Genomic DNA, 12,501 nt, shown 5'->3' on the forward strand with positions numbered 1-12,501 from the left:
GCATACTTCTAGATCACAGGACTCAGAACACTGTGAGGTGTTATCTGTTTACTTGTCTGTCTCCGCAAAGGACTGTTGGGACAAGAGCCAGGACATATTGGTTGCTATATAGTGGTTGCTCTGTTCAATGCTGGTTGAACTAAAATGAGTACAGAACTGATTCCGTGGGGGAAAAAAAGCAACCAACAAAATGACAGCATCACATTCTCATATATATCATACTTAAACAATCCAGTATCATGCTTGCTTTTCTGGCTGGGACTAAAAGAAACTACTTATTTTTATTCTTTGTCATTTAAACAAATTGAGATTTAACTCATCGTTGCAGATGAAGCCTTATTTCTCTTGCAAAATGAAAACCATTTCAGGGAAGTGGTATAAAGTGTTGGACAGAACCCTTTACTGGTCACTGGATTTGAGCCCCACTACTGCCCCTCCTAGTTGTGAGATTTGGTGCAAATTAGTGAATCTTCCTGGACTTCAGTTTTCTCATCTGTAAAATGGGTATTGTGGTACCTGCCTTGTCTCCCTCTCACATTTCTTGTGAAGATCAGATGTAATGGTAGATGTGAACGTGCTTTTACAATACTAGATCACACCTCTGTAGATGTGAGATAATGTATTATTTGGAAAGAAATCTTGGAGTTAGACACCTATTCCAATAAGGGGTAGGGAACTATTCTAGCTGCAAGGTTAACTGTAGATATTAGTCCTTCTGAATCAAGATTCAACTGTAAAGCAATTTATATTCATTAGATGTTAAGAGATGTCCCAATATATTTCACATAAATGGCACTGTTTTGAGAGGCAGGGTGTGTCTCTGCAGGCTTGTTCAGTGTTCCTAGGGAAGAGGATAACTATGTAACTTCATCAAGGGGATGTGGGGGCAGGGCTGGACAGTAGAGGCAAATGCCAGGGTGCACACTCCAAACACAGGGCTGTGCCAATTATGACTATTTTTACATGACCACTGAACTCTGAAAACTTACCATATAACAATTTGTCAGCTAGAAGATGTCTACATGCTAGTCCTTTAATTTTTCTTTGCTGCTTTCTAATTTTACTGTGATGATAACAAAATGAAACCACAGCACTTCCATCAGAAATCAGAGCATGTCCGTGAATAACTAACAGACTGCATCCAGTTTTCCCAGTGAATTCTCAAAGCCAAACGTGGGTTGGCTTTTGTATATAAATTGCCAGTGCGCCTTTTCCATTCTGGTGGGAGCTCTCTGAAGGGAACATTACAGCTGTGATGAATAACAGTCCCTCTAAAGAAGCTGGCGTGAAGCACGCATTTCATCCCACTGAATGGAACACTGCGCCTGCCGCCAAATGTTGCTGGGTCTCCCACAATTAAATAAATATATACATATGTCGCTTGGCTTTGTTTCCAAGTCTTAGGCTCTATAGAAACCAAGCACTTTATTACTATTAATAATACTATGGTTATAATAGATGCAGAGCCAAGGAATGGTACTTTGTCCTTAGTGGTTTTGATGAAAGTTTCCATTGTTCATTACTTATTTCTTACAACAACCTTTAACCCCTTGTTTACCACTATAATAAATGACAGTATTTTTCCAATATACGTTATCTCTATGTAGCCAATATTTTGATCAATTAATCTATAAAAATGATAACATCTACCTCAGAGACCAGGATAATCATAGTTAACATTTATTATGTGCCAAGCATTTTTCTAATTATTGTTATACCCATTTTGCAGGAGAGGAAACTGAGGTTCAGGGAGATTACATTACTTCTCTAACATGGCATAGCTGGAATTTGAACCCAGACCACTATGTTCTAATGCTTCTCCATGTAAGTAAAAGCCCAAACCACTGTACAATGAATTCTCTTTGCCTTTTACTGCCAAACAGTGACAGAATCACAACTATTCCTGTGTATAGAAAGGTTTTTTTTTAGAGACATAACAGTTGTTAGTGGCTCTCAGTAATGATTGTCAAGATACTTTGTTTTTGAAATGCCACTTAAAAAACCCAAGATATTATTTAGACCCAAACAAGAGACTATGGAGTAAATATCTAGTTTTCTGTTTCATTAAAAAATTCTATTATCTGTAATTCTTGAAGATAACATCACCTGCCCTTTGGACAATTCCTATCAATTTTAATTTGTCTTGTTACTCTCCACTCTCCCTACCCTCCCACTCACCTGAAGGCTGTTATGGAAACTGCCGTTCAATGGCCTGGCTCCCTGCCACCTCACCCCCAGCTGTAGTGAGCCTATTGCCTATGGGATTGGATCCAAATTCATCATGTCAAAGCCCTCATTAATGTGGTTTCATCTTACTTATCCATTCTTATTTCCTTCAATTTGTCCACATCTACCCTGACTTTCAACCTAGAGCAACTCCTTTCTGCCCTTCGGATATGCCCTGCTTACTCCTTCTGATTCCACACCTTTGATCATGCAGTCCCCACTCTGCGAAGTACTCAACTCCAACATATAAAGACCCTTCAAGACCCATTTCTTCCTTGAAGCCAACTATTTTAGTACACCCCCATCTTGCTTTCCCCTAACTTTCTTCCTATTTCAAATATAGCTATTAACAGTTAGTTGAGCTATCAATTATTCTTTAAGGCATTGCTAAACAGGTGACATTTGGGACCCCCAAATATATTGTCACCTCCTTAAGGACAGGGCCCACCTTAAGTGTTCTCTTATATCCTCCAGAATATCCAGCACAATGCGGAGGAAACATTAGGTACTCAATATATACTCACCGGGTAATGAAGTTTGGAAATAGTCAAACTTGCATTTAAAAATCTTAGGTTTTTAATTTATAGCACACTTATTAATTTTATAATTTTATTTAAGTAATACTCTAAAACAATCTGAATGTACAACAGTAAGTGTTATTTAAGGAATAATACATCCATACAATGGAAATAATATGTAGCTATTTTAAAAAGTGTTCTTTAGTTTAATGAGATCCCATTTGTCAATTGTGGCTTCTGTTGCCATTGCTTTTTGTGTTTTAGACATGAACTCCTTGCCCATGCCTATGTCCTGAAAGGTAACGCCTAGGTTTTCTTCTAGGGTTTTTATGGTTTTAGGTCTAACGTTTAAGTCTTTAATCCATCTTGAATTAATTTTTGTATAAGGTGTAAGGAAGGGATCTAGTTTCAGCTTTCTACATATGGCTAGCCAGTTTTCCCAGCACCATTTATTCAATAGGGAATCCTTTCCCCATTGCTTGTTTTTCTCAGGTTTGTAAAAGATCAGATAGTTGTAAATATGTGGCGTTATTTCTGAGGACTCTGTTCTGTTCCATTGATCTATATGTCTGTTTTGGTACCAGTACCATGCTTTTTTGGTTACTGTAGCCTTGTAGTATAGTTTGAAGTCAGGTAGCGTGATGCCTCCAGCTTTGTTCTTTTGGCTTAGGATTGACTTGGCGATGCGGGCTCTTTTTTGGTTCCATATGAACTTTAAAGTAGTTTTTTCCAATTCTGTGAAGAAAGTCATTGGTAGCTTGATGGGGATGGCATTGAATCTATAAATTACCTTGGGCAGTATGGCCATTTTCACGATATTGATTCTTCCTACCCATGAGCATGGAATGTTCTTCCATTTGTTTGTATCCTCTTTTATTTCGTTGAGCAGTGGTTTGTAGTTCTCCTTGAAGAGGTCCTTCACGTCCCTTGTAAGTTGGATTCCTAAGTATTTTGTTCTCTTTGAAGCAATTGTGAATGGGAGTTCACTCATGATTTGGCTCTCTGTTTGTCTGTTATTGGTGTGTAAGAATGCTTGTGATTTTTGTACATTGATTTTGTATCCTAAGACTTTGCTGAAGTTGCAGATCTAATTAAACTAAAGAGCTTCTGCACGGCAAAAGAAACTACCATCAGAGTGAACAGGCAACCTACAAAATGGGAGAAAATTTTCACAACCTACTCAGCTGACAAAGGGCTAATATCCAGAATCTACAATGAACTCAAACAAATTTACAAGAAAAAAACAAACAACCCCATCAAAAAGCGGGCAAAGGATATGAATAAGACACTTCTCAAAAGAAGACATTTATGCAGCCAAAAGACAATGAAAAAATGCTCATCATCACTGGCCATCAGAGAAATGCAAATCAAAACCATAATAAGATACCATCTCACACCAGTTAGAATGGCAATCATTAAAAAGTCAGGAAACAACACGTGCTGGAGAGGATGTGGAGAAATAGGAACACTTTTACACTGTTGGTGGGACTGTAAACTAGCTCAACCATTGTGGAAGTCAGTGTGGCGATTCCTCAGGGATCTAGAACTAGAAATACCATTTGACCCAGCCATCCCATTACTGGGTATATACCCAAAGGACTATAAATCATGCTGCTATAAAGACACGTGCACACGTATGTTTATTGCGGCACTATTCACAATAGCAAAGACTTGGAACCAACCCAAATGTCCAACAACGATAGACTGGATTAAGAAAACGTGGCACATATACACCACGGAATACTATGCAGCCATAAAAAATGATGAGTTCATGTCCTTTGTAGGGACATGGATGAAATTGGAAAACATCATTCTCAGTAAACTATCGCAAGGACAAAAAAACCAAACACCACATGTTCTCACTCACAGTTGGGAATTGAACAATGAGAACACATGGATACAGGAAGGGGAACATCACACTCTGGGGACTGTTGTGGGGTGAGGGGAGGGGGGAGGGATAGCATTAGGAGATATACCTAATGCTAAATGACGAGTTAATGGGTGTAGCACATCAGCATGGCACATGTATACATATGTAACTAACCTGCACATTGTGCACATGTATCCTAAAACTTAAAGTATAATAATAATAAAAAAATAAAAATAAAAAATAAAAAGTGTTCTTTCAGAAATATTATGATGTCAAATGCTTTGTGATACATTGGTAAATTTTTAAAATGTTACAAAAACCATGTTCAGAATATTCTCAGTTTGGAAATGAAAACTCCAATATTAACCAATATTAAAAAGTGCTAACCACAAAGGAAAAGACTAATAATTCACACTTTGAAAAAAGCATATACCTTTAACAGAGTATGGGGCAAGCCTGACAGAGGACTCAAATCCAGAAGATATACAAGAATTCTTACAAATCAATAAGAAAAAGGGGACAGTAACTTTTAAAAGATGGGCAAAAGGCTTGAACAGGCATAAACAAGATGTCCAAGTGGTCAATAAACAAATGAAAATGTGCCCAACACCATTAGTTATCAGCAAAATGCAAATAAAAACCATAATGAGATACCAGTACACACCAACTGGATGGCAAGGATAAAAACAGAACAAAAAACAAAAAACTGAAAATATCAAGTGTTCGCAAGGATAGGGAGCAACTTTCTGGGACTTCTATTACCATTCCTTTATGAAGAATCCCTTGTTTCTTCTATTCAATGACTTTGTATTTCTTAGTTTATCTTCTATTTTTGCTGGTATCTGTATACTTTGATGCTTTCCTAAGAAAGAATGGATAAGACTTAAATTTTTGAGTACTCTTAGAATTTTTATGGTATTTATCCATTATCTTCTCTTTTGTTTTTGTTTTTGAGACAGAGTCTCACTCTGTTGTCCAGGCTGGGGTGCAGTGGCATGATCTCGGCTCACTGCAACCTCCACCTCCCAGGTTCAAGCAATTCTCCTGCCTCAGCCTCCCAAGTAGCTGGGACTACAGGTGTGTGGCATCATGCCCAGCTAATTTTTATATTTTTAGTAGAGATGGGGTTTCACCATGTTGGCTAGGCTGGTCTTGAACTCCTGACTTCAAGTGATCCGCCCACCTCAGCCTCCCAAAGTGCTGGGATTACAGGCATGAGCCACCATTGTGCTGGGCCCCCATTGTCTTCTACTGTCTAGTGTTGCTGCTGAGAAAGCTGAAGCCCATTTTGAAATAATCACCAAAAGCTTTATGATCTTTTCTTGTCCCTGGTGTTCTAGAATTTTTAAATGATCAGCCTTAGTTTGGGTCTTTGTTCTTTTTCCCACTGTGATGGACTTTCCAGGATCCATCCCTTTCCATGTGAAACTCACATCCTCAAGTTCTGAAAAATGTCTACAATTTCCTCCATCTCAGCCCCACACATCCCTCATTTTCCCTTTCTGGATTACAGGTGACCATTGGACCTCCTGGGTTATTAATTTTCTTTCTCTCTTTTATTTCATTTCTTGGCTTCTTTTTGTTCTACTTATAGTAGATTTTCTTAACTTTATCATTCTACCCTTGACATTTTCATCTCATTTTTAGTGATAATAATCACTGAGATTTTTATTTTGGCTATCATAGTTTAAATTTCTATGAGCTTTTCCTTATTATTGGAATGTATCTTTTTTCCTAGGCTTGATTTGGTTAGTGAATACAAACAACTTCTCTTTTCTCCCATAGAAAATAAATTATAATTGTTCCAATATTTTCTTCTTCTCACTTCGTTATCTCATTCATATACATTCCCATAGTCTGCATATTTGTTTTGGTGTCACTTTCTTGTATATTGGAGGATTTTTCTATTGTTGGTGATCCTTGGCCTCTGTTCATATTTTAGAGGGAGGAATTAAAATGTGTAAAAGTATATATACTGCACGTATCACCCGGTGAGCCTCTCTGTTGAATTATCAAGAAGAAAAAATGGCAAATTTTATTTTTAAAAATGTCAAGCAATGATTTCCAAATAAAAAAGTAACCTGTTCAATACCAAAGATTCATGAATAATAAAAATTTTGGTCATGAATAAGTGGGTAGATGCAGAAGTAAATTGTTGAATTCTAGAATCCAGTTTAACTCTACACTGTAGAGAAAAAGTTGAAGTGGTAGATCCTCAGTAAAGCAGCTCCATGGTTTATAAAAAAAGTATAATAGCGCTCTTCATTCTGAGCAGGTAAACAGAGCTCTTTTTAAAGTGATTGTGGAGAAAATGAATCTGACGGAATATTTAAAAACTCATTGGTGCCTGTTGGAAAACCTTGAAAGATATTATAATTTGAAGACAAATTTGTTAGTATAGTGTACACTTCCTCACAATTTCCTTCTTTTCTTTAACAATCTTATAAAAATTTGCACTTAAAAGCACCTTGGCTGCTGAAGAGTTCTGTGGGTTGTTGGATTATTTTCCTTTCACCTCATGGTTTCACTTCACCTAGTAATTAAAACTGTAGAAAACCAAAAAGAGGCAAATAAGAATAATATTCCTCAAGGTTGCTTTTCCTGTCGTTAGCAGAAAGTCGTCAAAGTATAACGTTTTTAAAAGTTTTTCAGAAGATATTGAATTCATTCAGACATTCAAGAGAAATGAAACTTGCAAACACCATCAAAGCCTCATGAATTCCTTTTACATATTTGCCATTAACTCATTTTGTCATAGCAACCTCATTAATTCATCATCTTTGTTTTTTGCCCCTTTTCCTTTTCTCTTATTATAACTTACAGGTCACCCCAATACATAAGCACAGCTTTGGTCATTGTTTGCTGGCTCTTCTGTCTGATATATTTGGGGGAAGGAAGTCACAAATAGTGACTGCTGGCTTCACACAGGTGCTTGCAGAAGGGATCACTGATTAATGAGAGTCTCATATTGAAGGGGATTACTTGGCTGGGTTTTTTACAGCTTGATTCTCTGCCCAATGAGTAATGGCAGAAAGTATTCACTTGCCTAACGATGACTCCTTGTATATTATATCAGAAAGCAGCTAAGGATTGTAACTTAACTTGTAAGATATAATTTGAGATTTTTAAATGGAGAAAGTGCAGCCAGAAGACAAATTGACGTGGCATGGGAATTAAGTACCGCCGAGGACAAAGTCATCCTGGCTAAAATGGTGCAGTGGTGCTTGCTCTTAGCTGCATATCACATTAGAATCATTTGGGGAACTTCTAAGCAAGCACCCATAGGTGGGCTCTGTTCCAGTTCAACGGAAACTGGATCCCTGGGAGGGGGCCTGAGAATTAGCATATTGCAAAGTTCCCCAGGTGATTCTGATGCACTGTGAGGGTTAAGAATTGCTGATACAGGACAAGATACATTATGCAGGAATAGGAATAATTAAGCTCCCTCTGTCTCCCCAGCTCTATATAAGACACATCATGGGAGAATATGCAAAGACATAGAGGGCATGGCTCTCACAGGACTTTGTAATCTATATCAGAGGCAAGATAAGCACAGAAGAATAGCTGAGAGCAGCATAAGGCAATATCTAATCATGCGGACATTATACCTACAGGGATGCTGGGGAGGAAAGACCATGGTGGGTGAGGATGGTTTAGAGGCTTCACAGGGAAAGTGTTGACTTAGGGCTTTGTGGGGAGTAGGAAGGGGGCATTCACTGCAGGTGAGACAGAAAGCAAAGGAAAGAGTGTGCTGGGGCGGTGGGGAAGAGCTAGTGGACTGTCCTGGGGCTGTGGTTTAGGTTTGGTTTACTCTATTCTCATTACCAGCCTCCACTGAGCACTTTACATCAATCTTTACTGGAACTCCTCTGTGATGTGTCATTACAGATGAAGAAACTGGGCCTTCAAGGCTTAAGTAACTTGCTCAGTGTCTAGTTCCCTTTTCTGTCAGCAAATCCAGGTGAGGGTCATCAAGCTGACCTGGTCCCAAGGGGGAAGGTCGGAAAACTCATTATCTGCAGTTGTGACACCAGTGGGCTGGAGCATTTGCAGGGGCAAAGTGGAGAAGCAGCAGCAAACTGGCCTCTAATGCGAGAGAACCTGAAGCCCTCGTCAGGATCCCAGGTGAGGATCAAGAGACTCAGATAAGCTGGGGCCACCAGACCTGGGGCAGGTCAGGAGTTATTCAGACCCAACACTGGAGATGGAAGTCCTGCCTACTGTCAGGCTCTTCCATGCTCCTGGAGGCAGGCTTGCGTGTGAAGCAGAAAGTTCTGACATGGCCTCCTGGATGCCACAAATATCTTATAACCTCAAAAAAAATAGCATTCTTTTCTTCTTGTTTTCTATTATTATGTAAAAATATCATATACCATTAAGCAACGTGCACCTCAGCCTGCCTCACGCATTCCTGACCCTTTGAGCTATAAAGAGACATTTATGGCACCTGGGGTAAACAGCAGGAGATGTTCTTCTCCAAATCAATTTTATAATTCATGATAGGGCTCACAGATGGGCATTATTAACAGTGCACACCATCTGGCAGCTTCCCACTTTAAATCATTACTCTTGCTAAATAGATGTTAAGCTTTCAAAATCATTATTTACAATTTTTGTGTCGTCTAAGTTTCATGCCTTAGCTACAAGCCTTTTCCAATGTTTGGCTTCTGTTCTTCTCCTACTCCAGTCAGAGATTGGGTACAGCTCAGGCATGGGGTAAGGGCGGATGTTGCACAGATACCGGTATGAAAACAACTGAGTTTAATGGCTTACTTCTCAGGGTCATGAAATAACGTTAAAGTTTTAATGTTTATGGCATTCAAGAGGCCATGCCCAAACAGTATAAACATTTTATGTGATATTATGAGTCCCCTAAGGTACCCAGGAGAGACAGGAGTCTGGTAGAATCAAAGCAAGCAAGTGGTATAGATGCAATTTGAATTCAGTCTGTGTGATACTAAAAAATTTCTTTCCACCATATTATGCCCTGGCTACCTAGACACTATGTGCACTGCAAAGAGGCATCAGCTATGGTTCTTGTCTTCCAGGAGTTTTCAGTTTAGCTGTACTGACAGGCCGAAACATGAGAAGATAAATAACAACTCATGATTGGCATCAGACTGAAGCCAAACAAGATGAAGGCACATTAAGTGCTGAAGAAAACCAATTCTCCAGTGATTCTCTTTGAAACTTACTGTTCTAGATTATTCGAGATTGAATCTGCATTTCCACTATTTAGTTTTTATTATTTATATTTTTCAAACAGGTATTACAAGCACATGGCAAAATATTTATTGTATTTTTTTAGAGACAGGATCTTGCTCTGTCACCCAGGCTGGAGTGTAGTGGCATGATCATAGCTCATGCAGCTTCGAACTCCTGGCCTCAAACAATCCTCCTGACTCAGCCTCTGGAGTAGCCAGGACTGCAGGTGTGTGCTACCATCCCAGGATTTTTTGTTTTGTTGTTTTGTTTTTAGTGTTAGGGTCTTTTTATGTTGCCCAGGCTGGTCTTGACTCTTTGCCTCAAGCAATCCTCCCATCTCGGCCTCCTAAAGTGCTGGGGTTACAGATGTGAGCCACCACACCTGGTTTCAAAATGTTTAAATGATGCAAAAGGATAGACAGCAAATAATGTTTCCCACCTCTATCGCCCAGGATCCTAGCAGAAAACCAAATTTACCTCCAGAAGCTTCAAATTTAGAGGCTTTACTGAAGGGACTGCTTACAGAGGTGTAGGGTTAAGGGGAAAAAAACAAGAGATGTGGAGGCCCCAGAGACTGACAACAGCCTGAGGAAGGAAAGAGCGTTAGTGGAGCCCAGTGAGAGTCGGAGCCTTGGAGGACCTAGCTGTGGACAGACACAACTATTGTGAGACACGGCACCAAAGTGGGGAGGGAGCGTGGAAGGAATAGCTCGTCTTTCTCACTCTCAGATCTTTTGCTGGTGAATCCCATTGGTCAAACCCAAGAGGAAGTCAACCACCAAGGAAAAAGCGTGATGGAGGCTTTGGAGGACACTCTGGACAGGGCAGAGAGGAGGGCAGGAATGTGATCTTGGGTGGTGTTGGGTTGGGGCAGACCCACAGAACAACCAACATAGCACTACCCTATCCCTCAGTCCCCTGAGGCAACAATTCCAGTAGACTCTTGAACAACATGGTTTGAACTTTGTGGATCCACTTATATGTGGATTTTTTTCACCCAAACTAAGCGCATCAAAAACACAGCATTTGTGGGATTAGAAATCTGAGTGTGTACAAGGCTGGCTTTTGGTATAGTAGGGTTCTGCAGGTCCAATTGTGGGACTTGAAGAGTGTGTGGATTTGAGTATACATGTGGGGTCCTCGAAACAATCCCTTACATATACTGAGAGAGAACTATATTAGCATTTTCTTTGTAACCATCCAGAAATAGTCAATGCATGTACAAGCTACAATGTCTATGCCAACCCATTTTCTATACAAATAGTAGGAAACTCTTCCCCGACTATCCCCCACCCCCGCCCCACCCACTCTTGCTTTTTATCACTCAACAGTCATATTTCTTGGATATGGGCCCATTCTAGCATCCACAGAACTACCTTGTTGGATACCAAGGGTTCTGAAAGCATGGTCTCTGAATGAACAGCATCAGCATAACGTGGGATCTTGTTAGAAAGGCAAAGAATTAGAAACTTGGTGGATGAGGCTCAGCAATTCATGCTTTAACAAGCTCTCTGGGTCCTTCTGATGCATATCCAGATCCAGAGTTCTAAACTTTGTGAATGAGGCTGGGGTCCCGCCTGATCAAGCCTGCTGGCCATTCAAGTGTTGATGTACCCAAGCAATCAGTGGACAGAGGTCCACATTATCAGGCCATGTCTTTCCACTGAAGCTACTGGGTAATAAAAACAAAACGCATTAAGTATTGATTCTGTATCTGATATCAGTTCTCAGTGCAAACCTGGAAACAGCATGGAAAGGAAAGACTCACTCCCTTCCTCGTGGTACATATCATTTTCTCCCTGTCTTTTCACATTGTTAGTTCTTTAGATGCAGACACTGTGTTTTAATAGGTTTGGTTGGGTGTGTGATGCAATACAAGCTAAATATAATCATGAAGATGCACAATCACCACATGCTTAGGGTTGGCATCTGCTTGGAACCCACAACTATGAGACTCGCCACCCGCCCTGGATCCTAAGGTCACTGACTCCCTCAGGAGGGCCCTGCCAGGCACTGCTTAGCCATCGTTTACTGTGGCTCAAACACCTACAGCATATACAGCAATGGCCTACACAGAAATGGACATCTTGTCCTCACAAAGATTACAAAACAGCCTGAAGCTTTGCAGGCACCTTCTGGTTTGTGATCCTAGGACCGTCTATGTGCCTTGGTTTCCCCATCTGTAAAATGGCAGTGACAGAAAAGGCAGAGCTTGCTCAACTCTGGGGACATATTCAGGTAGAATGATGCAATGTGACTAGCATCCCCTGAAGGCTGAGGGTTGAATGAAAGATGAAACATGAAACCTTTCACCTGGTGCCTGGTCTGTACTGGCCTGAACCACCCAGCTGTGTGACAGTCAGCTGCTCAGGAAAGTGCAGGGTGAGTCAGTCGGAAGTTGAGTCCAGGCTCCTTTCTTTCTTACAACTTTGTGACTCCCGCAAGCTCATTCCCCTAGAGGCATCACTTTCATGTATTGTCTGGAGCAGTTCCTGGTATATTATTGGCATGTAATAAATATTTGTTGAAATAATGAATGTGCACTTATGGATCTCAGTTTCTTACTTTACATAATGGGGACAATGATGTACCTCATGGGAATGAATTAGGATTAATTGAGAAAACAGTTTAAAGAGACCTGATACACATATGCAGATAATTGAAATTGGTCCCCTTCCTTAC

This window comes from Homo sapiens, chromosome 3 (genome assembly GCF_000001405.40).
Source record: "Homo sapiens chromosome 3, GRCh38.p14 Primary Assembly".
NCBI classification, from domain to species: domain Eukaryota; kingdom Metazoa; phylum Chordata; class Mammalia; order Primates; family Hominidae; genus Homo; species Homo sapiens.